The sequence below is a fragment of the Homo sapiens genome, chromosome 1, assembly GCF_000001405.40.
Source record: "Homo sapiens chromosome 1, GRCh38.p14 Primary Assembly".
Classification (NCBI taxonomy): Eukaryota; Metazoa; Chordata; class Mammalia; order Primates; family Hominidae; genus Homo; species Homo sapiens.
The window spans coordinates 117,995,879-118,023,510 of record NC_000001.11 but is presented as its reverse complement, the minus strand read 5'-3'; the positions used below and the strand labels follow the sequence as shown (position 1 = coordinate 118,023,510).

At 37.5% G+C, this 27,632-nt stretch overlaps 1 protein-coding gene across 15 annotated transcripts in view, besides 1 other annotated feature; it reads left to right on the top strand.

The window, feature by feature from the left end:
• Window positions 1–27,632, top strand: part of SPAG17 (sperm associated antigen 17) — a 231,639-nt gene that overhangs the window by 161,718 nt on the left and 42,289 nt on the right. For all 15 annotated transcript variants that reach the window (XR_946574.2, XM_006710427.4, XM_006710426.4 and 12 more), the window contains 7 exons: window positions 48–207; window positions 7,329–7,546; window positions 11,139–11,283; window positions 15,313–15,467; window positions 17,909–18,097; window positions 26,768–26,913; window positions 27,011–27,141. Coding sequence is in view for 14 of the 15 variants with exons in the window: in XM_006710427.4 (XP_006710490.1) it covers window positions 48–207; window positions 7,329–7,546; window positions 11,139–11,283; window positions 15,313–15,467; window positions 17,909–18,097; window positions 26,768–26,913; window positions 27,011–27,141 (1,144 nt within the window). In the remaining variant the exon portion in view is untranslated. The remainder of the gene's footprint in view (window positions 1–47; window positions 208–7,328; window positions 7,547–11,138; window positions 11,284–15,312; window positions 15,468–17,908; window positions 18,098–26,767; window positions 26,914–27,010; window positions 27,142–27,632) is intronic.
• Window positions 18,959–19,474: an enhancer, noted in NCBI's record as "H3K27ac-H3K4me1 hESC enhancer chr1:118546660-118547175 (GRCh37/hg19 assembly coordinates)". NCBI's record gives its function as "activates a minimal SCP1, AML or CMV promoter by ChIP-STARR-seq in naive H9 embryonic stem cells {active_cell/tissue: H9 hESC(naive)}" and the evidence as "EXISTENCE:reporter gene assay evidence [ECO:0000049][PMID:30033119]".

The following is a 27,632-nucleotide window of genomic DNA, read 5'->3' as shown; positions in this document are numbered from 1 at the left end:
CTCTCTCTTGCTTCTGAGAATGCTGAAAACTTTTGTTCATTCTTCAGATTCTCTTTGCAGATGGTGCTGTGAGCAGGAGTCCCAATTCAGGTCTTATTTGTCCTCCTTCTGAAATGCCAGCAACGCCTCACAGTGGAGATTTGATGGACTCTATTTCTCAGCAGAAATCAGAAACGATACCATCTGAGATTACCAACACAAAGAAAGGTAACAATTGAAGCCTCTCAGTTTATTATGGATTTAGTAAAGCCTTCAAGGGCTTAATAAGTGTTCAATATTATTATTATTATAATACTTGCAACCTCTTCTACAAATATATTTATATATTCTTATACATACATACATATAAATGAATTCTTGCTATCACAGAATTACGTACTGTTTCATGAACTGTTTTTCTCTTAGTAATAAATAATTAACAGTTTCATATGTTGTTATACATTCTTGCACATCAGGTATAATGCCTAAGCTGCTGTTTTAGGGTTGACTGGGCAGATTGGTAATGTCAAGATTATGAATAGGCATCTCTGTGATTCTCTTGAACTTTTCCTCATAATTGCAAGAAGGTATATCAACTCCAGGCATGAGGTCCTCATTCAGCAACTTCCAAGAAAAGATGGCAAATAAATGCAAGAGCTTTCTTCAAGTGTCTCTGTTCATCAGGAAGCAAAAGGAGTTCCAGAACTCCACCTGTCACCCCAGCAGACCTGTCTTTATGTCATTGACTAGACCTGGCTGGGGACCAAGATTAGAAAAACAAGTATCTGACATTTTTGGCCTCTATCTCAGGAGACAGCACTACTAGCAGGGAAAAAAGAAGGTGAACAATACTTGGATAAGCAATGAACAGTGTCTGCCATAATCTAAATTGCAAGACTGCTGTCCTGAGAAGTGTTTTCAATGTATACCCCTACCACTACCACATGAAAATGTCTACTTCCTCATACCCTCACCAATGCCAGATATTATCATTCTTTTAATCTTATTCAACATGATAATCAATGCATCTTATTATGTTGATTTGCATTTCTTTAATTGCTGGTGAGGTTAAACATCTAAAGATGTTTCCTGTTTGTTTTGTTTCATTTTGTGAATTTCCTATTCATGTCTTTTCTTGGTTTACCATTGTGATGGTCATCATTTTCATCTTAATTTGTAAGATATATTTTTATATAGGAGGTGTATATTTGTGTAACAGGAAAAAAATCTGATATTTCAAATATTAAATCAGCTAATCCTCTGTGAGGCATATATTTTAATAATCCCCAATTTACAAATGAGAAAATTGAGGGAGAGAAGTTAAGTAATTTCCTTGAGGTCTCTTAGCTAGCAAGTGGTAGAGCTGAGATTTGAGTCTGGGTCCCTAACCCCTAAATTACGCTGCCTCTCCTGCCTTACAAACTTTTCTCAATTTCTCATATGCCTTTAATGATCTAGATTTAAATCTAGAAACCTGGATTTACTCCTTTTTTGTCAGTTTCACACATCTCACCACAGTACCCAGAAATATTGTGTGGAAGCAACTAGATTACTTTTTAATTACTCAATATTTAGTAAAACAGATTTTCCTTGAGTAGTAGCAGAAGGTTTCTGGTTAGAGAAGTATCCAGATAGCTTTCCAAATTTCTCGGCTCAAGGGTTCCCTCTTTTGTTGATACAGAGGACTTGATATAAGACTAGTCTGTGTAGCCATTTTTCTAAGAGCCTACCCTGGTTCTGGAGGACTTCTGCTTCTAGCACAGTGTCCCCCAGATTTCTTCACAGCCCTTCCATCCAAGATGATGCACTCACTTTTTAAATTAATAGACTATTTTTAGAGCAGTTTTAGGTTTACAGAAAAATTGAGTGGAAAGTGCACAGAGTTCCTGTTTACTCTGCTCACAGTTTCCCCAATTATTAACATCTTGCTTTAGTGTTGTATATTTGTAACAACTGATGAACCAATCTTACATTATTATTAACTAAAGCCCATAGTTTACATTAGGGTTCACTCTTGGTGTTGTACATTCTATGTCTCATGTATCATACAGAATAATTTTGCCAACCTAAAAATCCCTCTTCACCTATTCACCCTTCTTATTCCACCCATCCTGAACCACACACACACTACCCCACCAAACACCTGGGAACCACTGACCTTTTTATTGTCTGTATAGTTTTACCTTTTCCAGAATGTCATATGATTAGAATCATACCTTATGTAGCCTTTCTAGACCAGGTTCTTTCACTTAGTAATATGCATTTAAGATTCCTCCCTGTCTTTTTATGGCTTGATAGCTCATTTCTTTTTATCACAGTTTAATTGATATTAATTTAATTGATATTACATCAACTAAATGAAATATTATAGATAATATTTTATCAAAAACTTTTTAAGTTATAAAACCACAAAGCAACTGTTCCTGCTGAGATTCAGCCATTTTTCTTGAATTGTTCCTCAGATTGTTACAATTCTTTGGTTAATTTTCAAAGTTCTGAAAAAGTTTATTTTAGACTTTGTGGGCCATATGGTCACTGTCACAACTACTCAACTCTGCCATTGGAGCATAAAAACAGCCATGGGCAATATGTTATTAAATAAGCCTGTGTTCTAATAAAACTTTATATGCACTAAATATACTAAATTTGAATTTTATATAATTTTCATGTTATAAATTATTACTATTCTTTTGATTCTATTAGCTATTTAGAAATGTAAAAAGAATTACTACTTCACCGACTGTAAAAAACAGACAGCAGGCCTTATTTGTCCATAGTCCACAATTTGCCAACCCCTATTCTATATTTTTACAGATTTTTTTAATCTACTACATCAATTTACTTAGCAAAAGGATGTTTAAATCTCCTGAAAAGCTAGAATAATCTCTTTGGTGCTGCGTTCCTTATAATTTAATCATTATTTCTTAATTTGTGAAATAAATATGTCTTTTTTATAGTTCTGTCATTTTTCTTTATATATTTTAAGGATATGATGATAGATATTCATACATTTAGAATTATTGTATCTATCTTCACTAATTTAACCTTTCATCATTATGCAATGACTTCCTTTCTTTCTTTCTTTTTTTTTTTTCTTGAGACACAGTGTCACTCTGTTGCCCAGGCTGGAGTGCCAATGGCGTGATCTCAGCTCACTGCAACCTCCACTTCCCACATTCAAGCAATTCTCGTGCCTCAGCCTCCCAAGTGGCTGGGATTACAGGCACGTGCCATCAAAGCTGGCTAATTTTTGTTTTGTTGTGTTTTGTATTTTTAGTAGAGACAGGGTTTCACCATGTTGGCCAGGCTGGTCTTGAACTCCTGACCTAAAGTGATCCGCTTGCCTTGGCCCCCCAGAGTGCTGGAAGCCACTGCGCCTGGCCTGCAATGACTCTTTATTCTAGGATTCTTTTTACCCTAATGTCTATTTTGCTTATTTTATTATAGCTACCCCAGCTACTATTTAATACCTTACCGGTATAACTTTTTCCACACTTATATTTCACCTTCTGTGGTTTATGTTTAAATGTGTCTCTTATAAGCAGCAAATAGGTGAATATTTTAATAATTCAATTTGAAAACGTTTGTCTTTAGGGGTTTCAGTCCATTTATTGCATATCAAATAATTTCTAAAAATGTCTTTATGTTGTCCTCATTCTTGAAAGATAATTTCACGAGGTATATAATTCTAGCTTATAGATATTTTCTCTCAGTACATTGAAAATATCCTTTATACTCTCTTGCTTCCAATGTTGCTGTTGAAAAGTTGGCTATCATTTAAGTTGTTGTTGCTTTGAGGATAATCTAACGGTCTTTAAAATATTCCCTGTGATTTTTTATTACAATTTCAATAAATTTGACTAGGTATGGATTTCTTTTCATTTATCAAAGTGGGAATACATTGAGCTTCCTGAATCTGTAAATTTGTGTTTTTCATTGATTCTAGAGATTTCTCAATAATTATCTCTTCAAATATTGTTTCTGATCCATTTCTTTTTTCTTCTCTGCTTCTGGAATTCCAGTTAAACATATTTAAGAGGCCTTGAACTTTTATTTATTTTTTTTTTACTTCTATGCTTTGGTTCTCTGAGCTTCATTCTAAACAATTACTTTAGGTCTTTCAGTTCTCTTTTAAGCTGTGTTTTGTCTCCTGCTAAATCTGCATGTTAATTTTTTAAATTTCAGTTATTACATTTTTTAATATCTAACACTTCTTTGTTTTGTTTTATAATCTGTCTTCTTTTTAGTCATATTTTTGGCCCCTTTTTATTTCTGGAATCACATAAAGTATGCATTTTAGATTCTGTGTCTGATCATTTCAATATCTAAAGTATTATAGATCTAATTCCATTTTCTGTTGCTTCTTCTGGCTCTCACTTGAATTGCCTTGTTTCATTGTGTCTCGGTACTTTTTGACTATGAGATGATAATTTTTTCTTATTGCTTTAATTCTAAATTCTTGAGCTGGTATAAAAGTGCATTTTTTTTTTTTTTTTTTGAGACATGGTCTCACTCTGTCACCCAGGCTGGAGTGTGGTGGCATGATCACAGCTCACTGCAGCCTAACCTCCTGGGCCCAAGAAATCCTCCCATCTCAGCCACTAGAGTAGCTGGGACTTGTCTTTAGATGTTTTAGTCCGTTTATTATATACCAAATATTTTCTTAAAATGTCTTTATGTTGTCTTCATTCTTGAAAGATAATTTCACTAGGTATAGAATTCTAGCTTACAGATATTTTCTCTCAGTACATTGACAATATCCTTTATATTCTTTTGCTTCCAGTGTTGCTGTTGAAAAGTTGGCTTGCATCACCATGCAACAGGCATGCACCACCATGCTCAGCAATTTTTTTTTTTTTTTTGTAGCAGTGAAGTGTCACTATGTTGGCCAGGCTAGTCTCAAACTCTTGGGCTTAAGCAATCCTCCTACCTTGGCCTCCCAAAATGCTAAGATTATAGGTGTGAGCCACTGTGCCTGGCCAATAGTGCATTTCTTTATAAAGGACTTTGGCTTCAGAAAGGACTTTAGCAGTTGATAGGGGAACCAACAGTCTTGGATCACTTTAAATTATTAATTTAAGGAATTTCTGGGGGTGCCACTCAAGTGGTATGAATTTTCACTTCAAACCTATATAAGGATCTACTTGTGGTTATACAACCTCTTAAGTACTTTCTTGTTTTCTCTGCTCAGCACCAAGTTTGAACACAGGCAAGCTTTCTGACAGTTCTAGAGTGGGGTGGGAAAGGACACGAATGATTTCTGTTAATAATCCACACTTAGTCTGAGAGTGTAGTCATTTGAGGGCCTCATATCAAACCTTCCATCCAGATTGTGCAGGTTCTGGCATTCATTTCTGCCTAAGTCCCACAATGCTAAGAAAACAAATACTCAGAATCACACAGTTTGACAAAAACCCACTGGACAAAATCCAACTTCAGAGCTATTTTACCTCTTTGGCTTCCTACATTTACTTAGTCCATGGCTTGTGCTGATCTTACTTATAGTTGCCAGCTCAGAGACACTTTCAAGAAGACTGATTTAAAGATGTTTTCTAGCAGTTATGGTTCTTTTCAGTGGAATTATTGGTATCTAGTCTGTGATGTTGCTGAAAATGGAACTCCAACCCTGCTTGTTTCCTTCCTCTTACCTTTGAGCTGATCCTTGGCCAGTTTGCTTTGTTGACCCATATACTTAATGGAAGAAAATAGATGATTAAGATTTCAGGATCTGCATGTGATTCTTTCTCTTATCCTTTCACTGCCATCCTCATCCTTTCATATCCAAATTTGTTCCCCAATATACATTTGTATCAAAATTGTACCTGTTTATCTCTTCTGCCAACTTGAATTTCTAATACTTTAAAACCTTCTAACTGTTCTTCCTGCTTTTATTAGTATTGATTTTGCATCTTCCTGCCAAAAGCATGTAACTAATCTTCCAAATACCTCACTTTCTCTCTTATAACACTTTAGTTATTAAATATCACCTGTAGGAAAAATTCCAAGGTCTCTAACGTACTGCTAAAGTCCCCTCAATTGAATCAGTGCCTGCCTCTCCTGTCCCTTCACTCAACCAAAATCTGCTTGAAATGTATCATCTGGTCACACTGGTCTGCTAGTAGTTGTCTGTGTATACCATGCTATTCTTTACCCCATTGTATTTCTTATGTTCCTTATGTTGGAATGCCCTTTCCATAGCTCACCTTTTTTGATTAGAAAAAGTAACAAGAACAGAAGGAGAGGGGAGGGAAATAGGAGAAAAAGGGAGAATATAGAAAAAAAGATAATTCCTAAAGTACTTCCTACTATTTCTAGAGGAATTATTCTGAAAGCGATACCATTTTCACTCTCTACTAATATTCTAGAAGTATAAATATGTCCAAATCAAATTTTAGGGCAATGAAAAGGCTCAACCTGATTTATCTGCCTTTGGTTCTTCCCATTAGTTGAGTCCCTATCAGTTAGGCCGAGATGCATGCCCTGCTGCACATTTCATGGTCTGAATCTGGAGAATCTTCCAAGAGTTAACATTCCTTTACTATCATTACTTGCAATTTGTTTCAGGGTCTGAGTTTACCTCATCATTGAGATGTGATAACACTGTCAAGTCTCATCTACAGATTACTCATTATTATTCATGGAAATGGAGTATGTCTACCCTGATAGAGCAACTGAAATATTGGTCAAGGATTTCCATGAGGGTGTCTTCAGTTCTCTCCTCCTGTTCCAAATGAGTGGGAGGTAAAGGATGGAGAGGAAAATGTATCAGACAATTGTTGATGTACTAATTAAACTGCACAAACTCCTCTCCCCAGGGATATGCGTGGCTGGTGAGGTTTCCCAGATCCAGGGTTGAAGAAAGATGTTTCCTGTTATTACTGACAAAAGGGCAAAATCAGGGGAATCAAGAGTTAAAAATTTAGTAACTGTTATAGTCCAATATGTCAAAAGGAGGCTGAAAGTTTGACAGATAAGTGAGAGCAAAGGTAGGCTTTAAAAACCAGAATACAAAACCCAAAATCTGGGACCCAGAGAGAAGTATGCAAGACCCAAAAGAGTACAGAAGTTGACCAGAATATTTTTTGTGCCCTAGACAGTGAGCTGTGTAAGCATGTGTATGTCTGGGGGAAAGTGGTGGGAATTTAGCCATGGTTTAAGTGCTAAAATTACGCTATTCATAACCTGATACTTTTCCCTATTGAGAAATAATATAATTGATGAATACCACTTAGAATTGTCTATGCCACAGTATCTGAGGTAGTTTGTACTGTGTCAAAACATAGTGAATGATGTATATAATTGATACTATAGTTATATTGTTGTTGTTTGATTTTACTTGAACTTCACAGGAAAAAGTCACAAAAGTCAGTCATCAATGGCCCATAAGGGTGAAATCCATGACCCTCCTCCAGAGGCAGTTCAAACTGTAACTCCTGTGGAGGTTCACATAGGCACCTGGTTTACAACCACACCTGAAGGAAATCGGATCGGCACCAAAGGATTAGAAAGAATAGCAGACTTGACCCCATTGTTATCCTTTCAGGCCACAGATCCTGTCAATGGAACGGTATGACAAACTATTGTTTATTGCAAAATTTTCTAAGTCATTAGTATTCTGAAACAACACCCAAAAGAGTGCCTAGCTGATAATATTTTTTCAATAAATGTCTGTTAAGTAGTGGATGGATGGATGGGTGGATGGATGGATGATTGGATTCATTTTCCAAAATCTAAAAACATCTTGTGGTGTATTTGCCAAATGGAGAGTATCATTAGGGACTATTTTTGTGTGTTGTGGGCACAACCACGTCAGAACAAAATGCTAATTTTTGAGGTGAGCGGCAGTTCATGAGTTCTCTATGCCATTTTTAAGATATATGTGATTAATGATGTCGTCGTGTGCTTCCTTATGCTGAATGTATGTGTGTAAAATGTCTTATCTTCTGGAAGTGAGAGGCTTCTGGAAGTGAGTGTCTCATTACTACTTATTTGTGCCCACTTGCAGTTGGTGAAAGGAGTTTGTTCATGATCCTTTGATTTGGAAAAACTTATGGTATATTGAAAGAGATAAGACACACATTAAATAACTCAAGAATCCAAAACTCTAGAGAAACTTTACAAAAACTTTATTTGTAGCATAAGAATACATGACAAATTAGTGGTACAGAACATAATGGTTCTGTTTATTATATGAAAGCAAAACTCCTGGAATGAACAATAGCACTTTCTGTGTGCCAGGATTTTTTTTTTTTTTTTTTTTGACACAGAGGTTTGCTGTTGTCGCCCAGGCTGGAGTGCAAGCTCACTGCAACCTCCACCTCCTAGTTCAAGCAATTCTCCTGCCTCAGCCTCCCATGTAGCTGGGATAACAGGCACCTGCCACCACGCCCGGCTAATTTTTGTATTTTTAGTAGAGACAGGGTTTTGCCATGTTGGCCAAGCTAGCCTCCAACTCCTGACTTCAGGTGATCGGCCCGCCTCAGCCTCCTAAAGTGCTGGAATTACAAACATGAACCACCACGCCCGGCCCTCTATCTACCAGGATTTCTTTGGGGACTTTTATACACATTATCTCATTCAGCCCTCACACCAAATGTGTATTACACAGATGAGAAATTGAGCCTTAGGAAGTTAAGTAATGTGATCAAGAGTACATGTTCAGAAAGTGCTGAAGCCAGGATTAGAGCCAGTTGTTTGTGACCAAAAACTGAGCTCTTTCCATTCCTTAGCTATTCCTTTAACATCTTATATGGAGATTTGCAGCACCCTCTGAATCTAAACAAAATGAAGACGTTCCTAAGTGCCTTAACTCTTGTGTGTGAACTTCCTACCCTTGTTTAAAACCATGTGCTGCTGTAAAAAGCAAAATGCCAGCTTGCTATTAAGATGGATTACATGATCTAACCAAATATTTTTTCCTCTTCAGCCTACTTCTGAAATAATTTTATAATCTCTTACTTTGTTTGCTAGTTGCCTTTTTTTGTAAGACTCAAAGTACATATGATCTCAGAAAGGTTTTTTGTTCATTTGTTTCCCGAGGTTTTTTAATGTTTGTTTTTGTTCCTTCAAGTAACTCACTTTAATTCGGCCCCTGAGGTAGATTATTTGGCTTAATATGCAAGTTTGATTAACATTTCTTTGTTAACTTTTAATTTCCCTCATTCATCTCTATCACCATTTTGGAAGCATGAACCAGCATCCAAGAACCTGGATTCAAGCATGAATTAAAAACACCAAATGCCCAACAGAATAAGAGCAATAATAGTGATATTTACTGAGCACTCACTGTGTACTAGGCCCTGTTCTCTGCATTTTCCATATACTAACTCACTCAATTCTCACAACAAACTACTATTGTTTCCATTTTATAGATGAGGCAACTAAGCTACAGAGAGGTTAAGTAATTTGCCCAAGGTCACACAGCAAATGGTAGAGCCAGAATGTAGACCTCAACACTGTGTCCCAGATCTCAAGAAACTGGCATATGAAACAAAATTGAAAATGACATGAAATATTACATTCTAAAGGAATGAGCACTGCCCTTGGGGTGAGGCAGACCTGTGTTTCAAGCCCTAGCCATAGTCCTTACCAGATGTATAACTTTTGGCAAGTTTCTCATCTGGTTTCTTATTCATAAACTGGAGATAATAGTCATTACCTGTTGAGAAGATTAGTACCAGACCTGGCACTAACAGGCATTCAGAAATATCCTTGTTACTGTGTTATTGCCACCACTAAGAATGATTATCCTATTCTATGGTGACCAGAAAATGTCACTGTTTATGTGGCGTTACGAAATGTTTCAATAATTCTAAATCATAATATGTAAATATCTCTACTAGATAAAAAACCGCTATCAATAATTACTAACATGATGGCCAAGTGTGACGCACTTTACCAGCATCATCTCGTTTAACCCACATAACATTTCCAAGAAGATACTAGTGTTGGCTCCATTTTGTGGATGAGTAAACCAGACAACAAACAGGTTAAGCAACATCCCTAAGTCTACCCAGCCATTTGCGGAGTCGGGATTCAAACTCAGCTTAACCCCAGAGCTCATGCTCTCAACCACCACATTACACAGCAGTATTTCTTAGTATACATTCCTGGCTGAAAGCACCAATGATAAGAACCTAAAATAATGATCGGCATTCATTTCTCTCTTAAGTAGTGACTGCCACCTACCATAAAGAGCTAAACAGGTGAAAATCACCTGCTCCCAATAGCCATGAACTTTGGAGTCAGAAAACAGCTAGCAAACTCACTCTCACGTCCATCCAGACCTTCAGTGAAACATTATGTTCCTTAGAGTTAGAATAGTGTAAGTTTAGAAAATGCCCAATGATTGAAATATGCATTATGCAATTTACAGTACTGCAGTTGCAGGTTGAGCTTTCCAGAAGCAAACACTGAGGTGAAGTCCCAAGTGCAAGATTTTAATAGAGACATATATGTGAAAGGAGGAGGGAGAAAGCAGTAATGGGCAGAGGTAAAAGCTGAACTATGAGGCAAACACAACAGAGCCATGGTTAACCCAGTGCAGAGCTCAGGAGCAGCAACCCACGCACACCGCTTCTCATACCCCTCAAGCTCACAGGCATGCAGCGGCACTGAGCAGCAGATACATGCACAGGTCAACTTGACATAGAGAGGCTACAGCCTCTGTCCCCTACCAATCTTCAAGTACTGCTCTGATGACATTAGCCCGACACTTGCAGGCCATCTTGCAGTTCACCCCATCTGGGGAAGTTCTGCAGAGCAGAGGTTTCACAGCACACAAGGCAGCCACAATATGCCGCATTTATCATTACTCCGTAGTTTCCAAGGAAACAGGGCCTGTGGTCATTTTTCCAGACAGACCTGGGTTAACCCAGTCCAGATGTTAAGTGTTTCCTCAAATATGCCCTGATACTTACTTGCTGCATGACTTTCAGCAAGCTTCTCAACTTCTCTAAGCCTACATTTCCTCATCTATAAAATGAGGGTACCTGCCAAGATTGTTATGAAGGTTAGATCAGGTAGATGAGATAAAACTTTGCCTATAAATAAATAACTAGGACTTTGATGGTGCCATCTTCGTATTCAATGGATAAAAATAAGTACACTTGGGATGAACCATGTGGCCAAATGATTATGTCCTGCCTCTTCATGTTCAGGTTATGACAACTCGAGAAGACAAAGTTGTCATAGTTGAAAGGAAAGATGGTACTCGGATAGTGGATCATGCTGATGGTACCAGAATCACAACCTTTTATCAAGTTTATGAAGATCAAATTATTCTGCCAGATGATCAAGAAACAAGTATGTTTTATTTTCTGAGTACATGACAATATTTTATAACTCTTTAGCGTAAGTTAGATAGAATCCTCACTGACTGCTGAACATACACATAAGAAAAATAATTTTTTGGTAAAGTTAGCCAACTAAAGAAAACCCATGCCATCCAAAGCAGGGTCTATAAGGATTTAGTAGTATTATTATTATCATCATTACTTATTTTGATATTTGCTTTATAAAATTTAATTTATTCTTTTAATTGACAGATATTGTGTATATATATATATAATAAATAATATGATGTGATGAAATAAGTATACATTGCAAAATGACTCAATCAAGTGAATTAACGTATGCATTACCCTCAGATACTTATTTTTAGTTGTGAGAAAACTTAAAATCTGTCTACTTTCTTAGAAATTTTTTTTGACCAGCAGCACCCAGCAGCCAAAAGTTTCTCCAACACACTCCTCACTGTGTGTGTGTGTGTGTCTGTGTGTGTGTGTGTTTTATTTATGTATTCATTTATTTAAAACTTTTAAGTTAAGGGGTACATGTACAGGTTTGTAATATAGCCAAATTCATGTAACAGGGTTTGCCGTACAGATTATTTTGTCACCCAGGTATTAAACCTAGTACCCATAAGTTATTTTTTCTGATCCTCTCCTTCTTCCTACCTTCCAGTAGGCCCCAGTATCTGTTGTTCCCCTCTATAGGTCCATGTGTTTTCATCATTTGGCTCCCACTTATAAGTGAGATGAAGCGGTATTTGGTTTTCTCTTCCTGTGTTAGTTTGCTAAGGGTAATGGCCTCCAGCTCCATGCGTTTTCCAGCAAAGGATGTGATCGTGTTTGTTTTTATGGCTGCATAGTATTCCGTGGTGTATATGTATGCCATTTGCTTACTCCAGTCTACCACTGATGGGCATTTAGGTTGATTCCATATCTTTACTATTGTGAACAGTGCTACAGTGAACATATGTGTGTATGTGTCTCTACAGTAAAATGATTTATATTCCTTTAGGTATATACCCAGTAATGGGATTGCTGGGTCGAATAGTACTTCTGTATTCAGGTCGTTGAAGAATCACCACACTGTCTTCCACAGTGGCTGAACTAATTTAAATTCCCACCAGCAGTGTATAAGCATTCATTTTTTGCTGCAACCTGGCCAGCATCTGTTACTTTTTGGCCTTTTAATAATTGCCATTCTGACTGATGTGAGAGTGTATCTCATTGTGGTTTTGATTTGCATTTCTCTAATGTTCAGTGATGTTGAGCTTTTCTTCATGTGTTTTTTGGCCACGTTTATGTCTTCTTTTGAAAACTGTTCATGTTTTTTGCCCACTTTTTAATGGGGTTGTTTGGTTTTTTGCTTGCTAATTTGTTTAAATTCCTTACGGATGCTGGATGTTAGCATGTATGAACCTTTGTCAGATGCATAGTTTGTATATATTTTCTCCCATTCTGTAGGTTGTCAGTTTAGTCTGTTGATAGTTTCTTTTGCTGTGCAGAATTTCTTTGTTTTAATTAGATCTCACTTGTCAATTTTTGCTTTTGTTGCAATTGCTTTTGGTATCTTTGTCATGAAATCTTTGCCTGTTGCTACGTCTAGAATGGTATTGCCTAGGTTGTCTTTCAGGGTTTTTATAATTTTGGGTTTTACATTTTATTCTTTAATTCATCTTTAGATAATTATTCTATATGGTGTAAGGAAGGGGTGCAGTTTCAATCTTCTGCATATGGCCAGCCATTTATCTCAGTACCATTTATTGAATAGGGAGTCCTTTCATCATTGCTTGTTTTTGTTGATTTGTTTAAGATCAGATGACTGTAGGTGTGTGGCTTTATTTCTGGGCTCTCTATTCTGTTCCATTGGTCTATGTGTCTGTTTTGCTGTTTTGGTACAAGTACCATGCCATTTTGGTTACTGTAGTCCTGTAGTATAGCTTATAGTTGAGTAGCACGGTTACGGTTGCCTCCAGCTTTGTTCTTTGTACTTATCATTTTTAATTGTGAGAATACTTAAAATCTACTCTCTTAGAAATTTTCAAAATACAATATGTTATTTACTATAGTCACCATGTTATACAGTATATCTCTTTAATTTATTCCTCTTATATAACTGAAATTTTATATCCTTTGACCAACATCTCCCCAATTCCTCACCCCAATGGCTGGTAACTACCATTCTACTCTCTACTTGCATGAGTTCAACTTCTGTAGAATCTGCATATAAGTGTGCTATTTGTCTTTCTGTACCTGGATTATTTTACTTAAAATAATGTCCTCCAGGTTTATCCATATTGTTGCAAATGACAGATTTCTTTTTTTTTAACACTGAATAGTATTCTATTGCCTATATTTACTTTATTTTCTTTATTTTCTTTATTTTCCTTATTTATTCATCCATTGATGAACATGTAGACTGATTCCAAATCTTGGTTTTTGTGAATAATGCTGCAATGAATATGAGGATGCATTAGGACCTTTTATTATGATCATTATCTCAACAGAGATGGGAGTGATAACAGCTCTAGTTAGCTGATGGTTAGTAATAGTCTTTGATTGGTGGCAACTAAAACCTAATAACCATATTCATCTGTCCTAGATACTAGCTTTCAGATGTTTCCTTTGATCCTCAAGGCATCTAATTTGCATAAATAGGTGACCTCAGATAGGTCTTCAGTCTCAGCATGTCTTTCGTCAGAAAGGTGGCATCAGAAAAAAGGAAACGGTAGCTGCTAATTAACTGGAACCTGCTCAAAGACTCTAAAAGCCTTCCACTCTTCTGAACCTTAATTTAAGAAATATTTTTAATGAGAAGTTATTCCGTGAGTTCCCTTTCCTTAATGTCAATGTTTTTATTGGATATATTTAAGATGTACAAAATGATATTTTGATATCCATATACATAGTGGACTAAGTGAAGCAAATTAATATATCTCTTACCTCATATAGTTTGTGTGTGTGTGTGTGTGTGTGTGTGTGTGTGTGTGTGTGTTATGAGCACCTAAAGTCTACACTCTTGGAAAATCGTCATTATACAATACAAGTTATTGACTATAGTTTTTATGCTATACATTACATTCTTATACTTATTCATCTTACATAATTGTATAATTGTAACTTTATATGCTTTGACCTACATCTCCCCACCCCACCCACAAAATCATGCATATCATATTATGATGCACTAACTTTATTTCTGCTTATAGAGAGAGGGACACTCATACACATTTGCACAAGGAAACAAATACAGAGGAGTGACTTGCAGCATTGAGTATAATATTGAAATATTGGGAAAATATAAATGTCCATCAGTGGCAGAATAGAAAAACAAAATGTGGTAAATTCCTACAAAATAATACTATAAGGTTGTTAAGGGGAGTCATACACACACAAATAAATATATCTATGCACACATATATGTATAGATAGATGGATGGATACATATAGATCAAGATGGTTCGAGGTCTTGAAACTGTATTAAATGAAAAAAGCAGGTGTAGAATGACAGTACAGTAATTACATAAATACATAGAGTAACATATAGCTTACATACATTTAAAGCACACACATTTATATTGTTCATGATATATATGTACATAAAAGTGTAAAAATGAATTTCAAGATAGAAATAAGCCCAGATATAAGGAGAAACTTCAATATTATCTGTAATTTTTATTTTACATATGTATTAAAAAGTATAAATTTTAATTGATGAATATCTGAGTGCTTAAATTATATTTTATGCTTTTCAATTTTTCAAGTTGAAAAATCAGATGTTCTCAACTCCTGCAAATAAATAGTGAGAATAAGACAGCATACTAAATTAAGAAGATTTTTTCTGGAAGAATTATTATGAATTGACAAGAACAGCAGGCCACACTCCAACCCTGTGGAGTTCTCAGTACTTGCTCTAGACTTTACAATTGTGTTTTTTCCATGGGGAATCCAGACAGCCAGGAAACAGCAGCAAAATCAATAGGCTGAGGTCTGTTTTGCAATGTCTACATCCTATCAGATCTGCTTACCTTGCATTTGCTTGTAGCCGAGGGTCCTCGGACTGTCACCAGGCAGGTGAAGTGTATGCGGGTAGAAAGCTCACGCTATGCCACTGTTATCGCCAACTGTGAGGACAGTAGCTGCTGTGCCACCTTTGGAGATGGAACAACTATTATTGCAAAGCCACAGGGAACATACCAGGTAGGTCTACGAGGAAAATGAGAAGCGCCAAAGATGAGTGTCTATTCAGCTGAGAAAACCCACTTCTCTGGGGCAGTAAAAATGCCTGCAATGTACACTGCTGTTGCTTTCATTCTCTTATAATACTAACATCTTAGAATATACTTCTCAAACTCTTATTTATTCATCCCTTTTTACATCCCATGCCAGAAAAACATTGTCCTGCTTGTTTTGCAAAACTTCGGTAGTTTTGGACCAAGGTTATAAACCAAAATGTGTTAGTTGAGGATTTCTTATGTGCTAGGCACTGTGGGTGTTAGAAACACTTAGATGGTTTGGCTTGTGCCTAACAGACCAGCTTCACCTCCTGCCGCCTCGACCCTCATTCTCATTATCCATCCTTCCCACCTCCAGTCAGTCCTCACTACTCTACTCAAAGTCCTAGCAGCACAAGACAGAGCACATGGTGTGTGTGGTCCCTGGAGGGCAGTTCTCCTAGCTGAAGCAAAGCTCTGTCCTTGGAAGGCCAAGGAGGAGCAGTTAGCACCTTCCCTACCTTTCTGCATTTCCCCTTTAAACACAACCATCCAGTGTCAGCATGCAGTTCCTTTAGCCTTAAAAGGACTTGCTTTCAGCTTTTCACTTGCTGGAGAAAGGACACTAGAGCAAAAATATTGCAAACAATGTCACTAGATACTGAGAGCTAAAAGCTAGAAGATGATAGACAAAGATCTCACTGGCAAACATTTGTTACTGTGAAAGTTGCTGAAGTCAGTTTATCCCTCTCATCTCTTCTGATAATGTTATCCTTCCACCTCTTCATCCAGTGTAGATTATTATGGGGCAAGGAAGGTGCTGGAAGTGAGAGATGAAAGAAAACATAGATATAAATTTTCATGTTTTTGATTAGGCAATAGTTTCTTAGATATGATGCCAAACATACAAGCTTTACCAAAATCAAAAAAAAGTTTGTGATTCAAAGGACACCACCAAGAACGTGAAAAGATAAACTACAGAATAGAAGATGTTATTTGAAAATCATATAACTGATAATGGTCTCATGTACAGAGTACCCTACAACTTAGAACTCTCATAACTCAACAATAAAAAGACTAATAACCCACTTTAAAATGAGCAAAGGATTTGAATTTCTCCAAAGATATGCAAATAGCAAATAAGCCAAGAAAAGATGCTCAACATCATTAGTTGTGAGGGAGCTGCAGCGCAAACTGCAATGAGATATCACTTCACACCCACTAGAAAACTGTAATCAAAAAGACAGATAATCACAAGTGTTAGCAAAGGTATGGAGAAATTGGAACCCTCAGAAATTGCTGATGGTATAAGTCACTTTGGAAAGTGGTTAGTCACTTGGAAAATGGTATAGTCACTTTGGAAAACAACTTGGCACTTCCTCAAAAGGTAAACTTAGTTGTCATATGACCCAGCAATTCCACTCCTAGGTATATATCCAAGAGAAAACATACATCTGCACAAAAACTTGTACACAATATTTACAGCAACATCTTTAATAATAGCAAAACTGAAAACAATGCAAATGATGGCAACTCATAAGTGAATAAAGAAAATCTGATATAGCCATACAATGGAATATTACTTATCCATAAAATGGAATAAAGTACTGTGTGCTACAACATGAGTGAACCTTGAAAACATTATGCTAACTGAAAGAAGCCAGACACAAAAGGCCACAGAGTACATGCTTCCATTTAAATGAAGTATCTAGAATAGGTATATCCATAGACAGTAGATTAGTGGCTGCCAGGGCCTAAGGCCTAGTGATCCAGAAAGATTTCTAACAGGATCAGCGTTTCTTTGGGCGATGATAAAAGTGTTACGGAATTAGTGATAATGGCTTCACACATTTTTGAATATACTAAAACCCACGGAATTATACACTTTTAAAGGGTAAATCTATGATATGTAAATTATATTTCGGAAAAAGATCTGTTTGAACCAGAATTCATTACATGAAGTCTATTACTTAAGGACCGTGTCAGCCACCAGAGAGAGGAGAGATGAGTTTCTAAGAGCACTTATCGCACAGTTTTATACCCTTTCAGAGATGCTTCTTATCCAAGATCATGAGCAACCCCAAACATTTAGAATAGGATGAATAGGGCCAAACATGTATGTAACCTCAGCTAAAATATGTTAAATATTAGAAATAAGGGGGCATAAGACAATTAGTTAGAAGAGATATTAAAGCGAGCAGATAAGATATGAGGATACAGGAGAAATGATATCCTAACTATTCAGTTTGCCTCTTTATCGAGTAGCCCTTTCCAAACCTTAAGTCCTCCCTTGATTAATGTTTTCCTCCTGCAAACACAGTTTGTGACTAGGATCTATGGGTATTCTTTCTCCTAAAATGGTTTTCCAAGTCCCACATATTTAACAAGAAAATTTTAATAATTTCTGTCTTTCTGTTACTCTTTCAGGTGTTACCTCCAAACACAGGCTCTCTTTATATTGACAAGGATTGTTCAGCTGTGTACTGCCATGAGTCAAGCAGTAATATATACTATCCTTTTCAAAAGCGTGAGCAGCTGCGAGCTGGCAGGTACATCATGAGGCATACTTCAGAGGTTATCTGTGAGGTTCTGGATCCTGAGGGAAACACTTTTCAGGTAAAGTGCACCTTTGGTATGGAGAGAGAGCCTGTGGCTTTGCTTTTGAGATATTTCACACTACAAAGCTTCCATGTAGATTTTTACCTTAGTTGCCTTGGGATTAATTATCCACTTACTGCCAATACTTTGGGCAAGCAGTAATGAATGTCAATACATTTCCTTTGATTCTTAAGTGTACTTTCATGGAGAATGGCAAGCCGAATAATTGGTGGGATAGAAATGTTAGGGCTAAATAAATAATTAGAACAGAAAGGAAGAAACAGTAGCAGACATCTGAAAATAATGCCAACATAAAGAATGATGTGGCAATGGTCCTTATCCAAGTTGAAGTCAGAGCAAACACAAGACAGGAGGCAAGTTTCTTTGAGTAGTCACAGAGTAAGATGGTAAGAAGGATACAGTAGGGTTGAAAGTGGGGAAGTGGACCAACATCCAAGCTGAGTGCCAAATCAAGAACACAATCCTGAAGATGGCTGAATAGGAACAGCTCCAATCTGCAGCTCCCAGTGTGATCGACACAGAAGATGGGTGATTTCTGCATTTCCAACTGAAGTACCTGGTTCATCTCACTGGGACCAGTTGGACAGTGGGTGCAGCCCACGGAGGGCAAGATGAAGCAGGGCAGGGCATCCGCCTCACCTGGGAAGTGCAAGGTGTCAGGGGATTTCCCTTTCCTAGCCAAGGGAAACCATGACAAACTGTACCTGGAAAAACAGGACATTCCTGCCCAAATACTGTGCTTTTCCAATGGTCTTAGCAACCAACAGATAAGGAGATTCTCTCCCATGCCTGGCTTGGTGGATCTCACGCCCAAGGAGCCTTGCTGACTGCTAAACAGCAGCCTGAGATCAAACTGTGAGGCAGCAGCCTGGCTGGGGGAGGGGGTCCGCCATTGCTGAGGCTTGAGTAGGTAAACAAAGCAGCCAGGAAGCTCGAAATGGGCAAAGCCCACCACAGCTCAGCAAGGCCTACTGCCTCTAGTCTCCACCTCTGTGGGCAGGGCTTAGCTGAACGAAAGGCAGCAGACAACTTCTGCAGACTTAAACATCCTTGTCCAACAGCTCTGAAGAGAGCAGTGGTTCTCCCAACATGGCGTTTGAACTCCGAGAAGGGACACACTGCCTCCACAAGTGGGTCCATGACCCCCGTGTAGCCTAACTGGGAGACACCTCCCAGTAGGGGCCAACAGACACCTCATATAGGCAGGTGCCCCTCTGGGACGAAGCTTCCAGAGGAAGGATCAGGCAGCAATATTTGCAGTTCTGCAATATTTGTTGTTCTGCAGCCTCCACTAGTGATACCCAGGCATCCAGCAAACTCCAACAGACCTGCAGCTGAAGGACCTGACTATTAGAAGGAAAAGTAACAAACAGAAAGGAATAGTGTCAGCATCAACAAAAAGGACATCTACACCAAAACTCCATCTGTAGGTCACCAACATCAAAGACCAAAGGTAGATACAACGACAAAGGTGGGGAGAAACCAGAGCAGAAAAGCTGAAAATTCTAAAAATCAGAGTGCTTCTCCTCCAAAGGATCACAGCTCCTTACCAGCAACAGAACAAAGCTGGATGGAGACTGACTTTGATGAGTTGACAGAAGTAGGCTTCAGAAGGTCAGTTATAACAAACTTCTCTGAGCTAAAGGAACATGTTCAAACCCATCGCAAGGAAGCTAAAAACCTTGAAAAAAGCTTAGACGAATGGCTAAGTAGAATAAACCATGTAGAGAAGACATTAAATGACCTCATGGAGCTGAAAACCATGACATGAGAACTTCATGACACATGCACAAGCTTCAATAGCTGATTTGATCAAGTGGAAGAAAGGGTATAAGTGACTGAAGATCAAATTAATGAAATAAAGTGAGAAAAGAAATTTAGAGTAAAAAGAAACAAACAAAGCCTCCAAGAAATACAGGACTATGTGAAAAGATGAAATCTATGTTTGACTGATGGACCTGAAAGTGATGGGGAGAATGGAACCAAGTTGGGAAACACTCTTCAGGATATTATCCAGGAGAACTCCTCAACCTAGCAAGGCAGGCCAACATTCAAATTCAGGAAATACAGAGAACATCACAAAGATACTCCTCGAGAAGAGCAACCCCAAGACACAAGTGTCAAATTCACCAGGGTTGAAATGAAGGAAAAAATGTTAATGGCAGCCAGAGAGAAAGGTCGAGTTACCACAAAGGGAAGCCCATCAGACTGACAGTGGATCTCTTGGCAGAAACCCTGCAAGCCAGAAGAGAGTGGGGGCCAATATTCAACATTCTGAAAGAAAAGAGTTTTCAACCCCAAATTTCATATCCAGCCAAACTAAGCTTCATAAGTGAAGGAGAAATAAAATCCTTTACAGACAAGCAAATGCTGAGAGATTTTGTTACCACTAGGCCTGCCTTACAAGAGCACCCGAAGGAAGCACTAAACATGGAAAGAAACAACCAGTACCAGCCACTACAAAAACATGCCAAATTGTAAAGACCATCTATGCTATGAAGAAACTGCATCAATTAATGGGCAAAATAACCAGCTAACATCATAATGACAGGATCAAATTCACACATAACAATATTAACCTTAAATGTAAATGGGCTAAATGCCCCAATTAAAAGACATAGACTGGCAAATTGGATAAAGAGTCACGACCCATCAGTGTGCTGCATTCAGGAGACCCATCTCATGTGCAAAGACACACATAGGCTCAAAATAAAGGGATAGAGGAAGATCTACCAAGCAAATGGAAAGACAAAAAAAAAGCAGGGGTTGCAATCCTAGTCTCTGATAAAACAGACTTTAAACCAACAAAGATCAAAAGAGACAAAGAAGGCCATTACATATTTGTAAAGGGATCAATTCAACAAGAAGAACTAACTATTCTAAATATATATGCACCCAATACAGGAGCACCCAGATTCATAAAGCAAGTCCTTAGAGACCTACAAAGAGACTTAGACTCCCACACAATAGTAATGGGAGATTTTAACACCCCACTGTCAATATTAGACAGATCAATGAGACAGAAGGTTAACAGGGATATCCAGGACTTGAACTCAGTTCTGCACCAAGCAGAACTAATAGACATCTACAGAACTCTCCGCCCCAAATCAACAGAATATACATTCTTCTCAGCACCACATCACACTTATTTTACAATTGACCACGTAATTGGAAGTAAAGCACTCCTCAGCAAATGTTAAAGAACAGAAATCACAACAAACTGTCTCTCAGACCACAGTGCAATCAAATTAGAACTCAGGATTAAGAAACTCACTCAAAACCACACAAATATATGGAAACTTAACAACTTGTTCCTGAATGACTACTGAGTAAATAACAAAATAAAGGCAGCAATAAAGATGTTCTTTGAAACCAATGAGAACAAAGACACAACATACCAGAATCTCTGGGACACATTTAAAGCAGTGTGTAGAGGGAAATTTGTAGCACTAAATGCCCATGAGAGAAAGCAGGAAATATCTAAAATCAGCACCCTAACATCACAATTAAAAGAACTAGAAAAACAAGAGAAAACAAATTCAAAAGCTAGCAGAAGGCAAGAAATAACTAAGATCAGAGCAGAACTGAAAGAGATAGCGACACAAAAAACCCTTCAAAAAATCAATGAATTGCCAGGAGCTGGTTTTTTGAAAAGACCAACAAAATTGATAGACCATTAGGAAGACTAATAAAGCAGAAAAGAGAGAAGAATCAAATAGACACAATAAAAAATGATAAAAGAGATATGACCACGGATACCACAGAAATACAAACTACCATCAGAGAATACTATAAACACCTCTATGCAAATAAACTAGAAAATCTAGAAGAAATGGATAAATTCCTGGACACATACACCCTCCCAAGCCTAAACCAGGAAGAAGTTGAATCTCTGAATAGACCAATAACAGGCTCTGAAATTGAGGCAATAATTAATAGCCTACCAGCCAAAAAAAGTCCAGGACCAGACAGATTCACAGCTGAATTCTACCACAGGCACAAAAAGGACCTGGTACCATTCCTTCTGAAACTATTCCAATCAATAGAAAAAGAGGGAATCCTCCCTAACTTGTTTTATGAGGCCAACATCATCCTGACATCAAAGCCTGGCAGAGACACAACAAAAAAGGAGAATTTTAGACCAATGTCCCTGATGAACATCGATGTGAAATCTTCAATAAAATACTGGCAAACTGAATCCAACCGCACATCAAAACCTTATCCGCCATGTTCAGGTCGGCTTCATTCACAGGATGCAAGGCTGGTTCAACATACGCAAACCATTAAGCATAATCCATCACATAAACAGAACCAACAACAAAAACCACATGATTATCTCAATAGATGCGGAAAAGGCCTTCAACAAAATTCAACAGCACTTCATGCTAAAAACTCTCAATAAACTAGGTATCAATGGAACGTATCTCAAAATAATAAGAGCTATTTATGACAAACCCACAGCCAATATCATACTGAATGGGCAAAAACTGGAAGCATTCCCTTTGAAAACCGGCACAAGACAAGGATGCCCTCTCTCACCACTCCTATTCAACATAGTGTCAGAAGTTCTGGCCAGGGCAATCAGGCAAGAGAAAGAAATAAAGGGTATTCAATTAGGAAAAGAGGAAGTCAAATTGTCCCTGTTTGCAGATGACATGATTGTATATTTAGAAAACCCCATCATCTCAGCCCAAAATCTCCTTAAGCTGATAAGCAACTTCAGCAAATCTCAAGATACAAAATCAATGTGCAAAAATCACAAGCATTCCTATACATCAATAACAGACAAGCGGAGAGCCAAACGTGAGTGAACCACCATTCACAATTGCTACAAAGAGAATAAAATACCTAGGAATCCAACTTACAAGGGATGTGAAGGACCTCTTCAAGGAGAACTACAAACCACTGCTCAACTAAATAGAAAAGGACATAAACAAATGGAAGAACATTCCATGCTCATGGATAGGAAGAATCAATATTGTGAAAATGGCCATACTGCCCAAGGTAATTTATAGATTCAATGCCATCCCCATCAAGCTACCAATGACTTTCTTCACAGAATTGGAAAAAACTACTTTAAAGTTTATATGGAACCAAGAAAGAGCCCACATTGCCAAGACAATCCTAAGCAAAAAGAACAAAGCTGGAGGCATCATGCTACCTGACTTCAAACTATACTACAAGGCTACAGTTACCAAAACAGCATGGTACTGGTATCAAAACAGAGATATAGACCAATGGAACAGGACAGAGGCCTCAGAAATAACACCACACATCTACAAACATCTGATCTTTGACAAACCTGACAAAAATAAGAAATGGGGAAAGGATTCCCTGTTTAATAATGATGCTGGGAAAACTGGCTAGCCATATGTAGAAAGCTGAAACTGGATCCCTTCCTTACACCTTAGACAAAAATTAATTCAAGATGGATTAAAGACTTACATGTTAGACCTAAAACCATAAAAACCCTAGAAGAAAACCTAGGCAATACCATTCAGGACATAGGCATGGGCAAGTACTTCATGACTAAAACACCAAAAACAATGGCAACAAAAGCCAAAATAGACAAATGAGATATAATTAAACTAAAGAGCTGCTGTACGGCAAAAGAAACTACCATCAGAGTGAACAGGCAACCTACAGAATGGGAGAAAATTTTTGCAATCTACTCATCTGACAAAGGGCTAATATCCAGAATCTACAAAGAACTTAAACAAATTTACAAGAAAAAAACAACCCCATCAAAAAGTGGGCACAGGATATGAACAGACACTTCTCAAAAGAAGACATTTATGCAGCCAACAGACACATGAAAAAATGCTCATCATCATGGTCATCAGAGAAATGCAAATCAAAACCACAATGAGATACCATCACATGCCAGTTAGAATGGCAATCGTTAAAAAGTCAGGAAACAACAGATGCTGGAGAGGATGTGGAGAAATAGGAACACTTTTACAGTTGGTGGGAGTGTAAACTAGTTCAACCATTGTGGAAGATGGTATGGTGATTCCTCAAGGCCCTAGAACCAGAAATAACATTTGACCCAGCAATCCCATTACTGGGTATGCACCCAAAGGATTATAAATCATGCTACTATAAAGATACATGCACACGTATGTTTACTGCCGCACTATTAACAATAGCAAAGACTTGGAACCAACCCAAATATCCATCAATGATAGACTGGATTAAAAAAATGTGGCACATATACACCATGGAATACTATGCAGACATAAAAAAGGATTAGTTAATGTCCTTTGGAGGGACATGGATGAAACTGGAAACATCATTCTCAGAAAACTGTCACAAGGACAGAAAACAAAACACCACATGTTCTCACTTATAGGTGGGAATTGAACAATGAGAACACTTGGACACAGGGCGGGGAACATCACACATGGGGGACTGTCGGGGGTAGGAGGCTGGGGGATGGATAGCATTAGGAGAAATACCTAATGTAAATGACAGGTTGATGGGTGCAGCAAACCAATATGGCACATGTATACCTATGTATCAAGCCTGCACGCACATGTGCCCTAGAATTTAAAGTATAATAATAATAATAAAAGAACACAATCCTATTCACAATAGCCACCAAAAAATAAAATACCTAAGAATACAGCTAACCAGGGAGGTGAAAGTTCTCTACACTGAGAATTACAAAACATTGATAAGAGAAATCAGAGATGACACAACCAAATGGGAAAACATTCCATGATCATGGATAGGAACAATCAATATTGTTAAAATGGCCATACTGCCCAAAGCAATTTACAGATTCAAGACTATTCCTATCACAGTACCAATGACATTCTTCACAGAATCAGAAAAAGCTATTCTAAAATTCACATGGAACCAAAAAAAGAGCCCAAATAGCCAAAGCAATCCTAAGCAAAAAGAACAAAGGTTGAGGCATCACATTACCCAACTTCAGCTGTACTACAGGGCTGCAATAACCAAAATAGCATGATACCAGTACTAAAACAGATGCATAGACCAATGAAACCAAATAGAGAGCCCAGATATAAAGTTGCACACCTGCAATCATCTGATCTTCAACAAAACCAACAAAAACAAGCAATGAGGAAAGGACTCCCTAGTCAATAAATGGTACTGGGATAAATGGCTAGCTATATGCAGAAGATTGAAACTAGACCCCTTCCTTACACCATATACAACAATTGTCTCAAGATGTATTAAAGACTTAAATGTAAAACCTAAACTACAAAAACCCTTGAAGAAAACCCAGAAAATACCATTCTGGTCACAGACTCTGGCAAAGATTTCATGGCAAAGACACCAAAAGCAATTGCAACAAAAGCAAAAACTGACAAATGGGACCTAATTAAACTAAAAAGCTTCTGTACAGCAAAAGAAACTATCAACAGACTATCAACTGACTAAACAGACAACCTACAGAATGGGAGAAAATATTTGCTTCTTTGTCTTTCAACACCACGACTATCCCCTCACCTCTAGGTCAGGAATTGGCAAACTATGGCCACTTGTTTATCTATAGCCCATGAACTAAAAATGGTTTCATATATGCGTAAATGGTTTTTGAAAAAGCAAAAGAAGAAGACACAATAAAATTATAGGAAATACAAATTTCAATGTCGTTTTATAAAGTTTTATTGGAACACAGTCATGCTCATTTGTTTACATACTGTCTGTGGCTGCTTTGCACAATAATGGCAGAGTTGAGTAGCTGCAACAGAGAATGTATGGCCTGCAAACTCAAACTCTAAAATATTTACTATCGTGCCTGTGACAAAAAAGATTTGCCAACCATTGCTCTAGGCATTTATCTTTTTTCTTTTCTTTTTTTTTTTTTTTTTACTTCTCATTCAACAGTGAAATTTTGTCTATCAGCTAGTAGGTATGAAGTTATTTTTTAGATTTGGAGTTATACAACAGAATTCCTAACTTTGTTTTGATATGTAGATAAGCCCTGATCCAGCTTATTTTTTCTTTGCTAAGTAACTGAAACTCTTCACAGCATGAGTTCAAACTGACAAATTTCAATTTACAGCAAATTGAAGTAGAAACTTAAAGCTCAAAACCCTCTAAGCCAAGCATTTTTCTGGGCATTGATACTCCTCTTGGGCATCCCCTTCAGTGGTCTTGCAGCATGAATCACACCCCTTCCTGGAGAGACCCGGGCCATATTTAGACAGTAATAAAGGACTAGAACATTTTTTCTCATATTCATACTAAATCTATTTCCCAATGTATTCTACCCATGAGCCACAATTGTGTGTTTGACATCCCAGATTATAAGCCCCTTCCATTCAAAGGTCCTTGCAAATAATTCAAGACAACTATTGCATGAGTACCCATTCCTCCATGTTTAAATTCCCAATTTCTTGAACCTATCTTCACAGTATGAGGTTTGGAGTATCCTCCCCATCCTATTCACTTCATTCTGAATATGTTTCAGTCTGTGTTCCTGTTCTAGGTGTCATTTATAAGTAGAGTTATGCTGCTAGGTTTTTACTTTTATTAATGCAGTCTCTACTTAGTAAACAATACCTTGCAAATAAACATCTCCAATTTTGTGAGTAAACCCACCAAATCATCTGTTTTCTCAAATTGAATCAGCAGAAGTTTAAGCATTATGACTTTCTTTTCTTTTAGTTGCTTACATACTTTATCCCTTAGGTCATGGCTGATGGTAGCATATCAACTATATTACCTGAAAAAAAATTGGAAGATGATTTAAATGAGAAAACTGAGGGCTATGATAGTCTGTCCTCTATGCACCTTGAAAAGAATCATCAGCAAATCTATGGTGAACATGTCCCCAGGTAAAAGAATAATACTATAATTTTACTTTTAATTCTGAGTTCAAGGAGAATTTTAACGGAATACTTGAAGTGATTATATTTTTATTTCTTCAAATAGGTTTTTTGTTATGTATGCTGATGGATCAGGAATGGAACTTCTTCGAGACAGTGACATAGAAGAATATCTATCTTTGGCATATAAAGAATCAAATACTGTTGTTCTCCAAGAGCCAGTGCAGGAACAGCCAGGTAGAGGACCCATACTGTCTGGAATGCACGGTGTCTCTTTGCCAATTCTCATCCTCCTTACTATCCAGTCTATCTTCATGTCATCTTACTTTTTCCGCTTTGCTCACTTTTCTGCTCTACTTTGGAAAGTAGAGCAGAAATAAGTTGACATGAATAAGTCATGTCAACTTATTTATATAGCTACTTGAATTTATGTGTATATCAAGATACATCTGAGCACCAGTCTGCATACGCTGAGTATGTATCCCTCTTCTCCTATACGCAGATTTGTATCTGTGTTTAGGTATGTACCAAAGTTCTGATTTATGAGTTCATTTCATCTTGGTAAGAAAAAACAAAGAACAGTGAGATATCTCTTGTAAATTCATTTTTTGTCATTTTGAAGATATTGCTTTGATGAAATTGATAGGTGAGTTATAATGCCAACCTGAAATACCCGGTAACTTATATAAGCTACATTCATTGGGTACTTACATTGTTTTCATCAACTT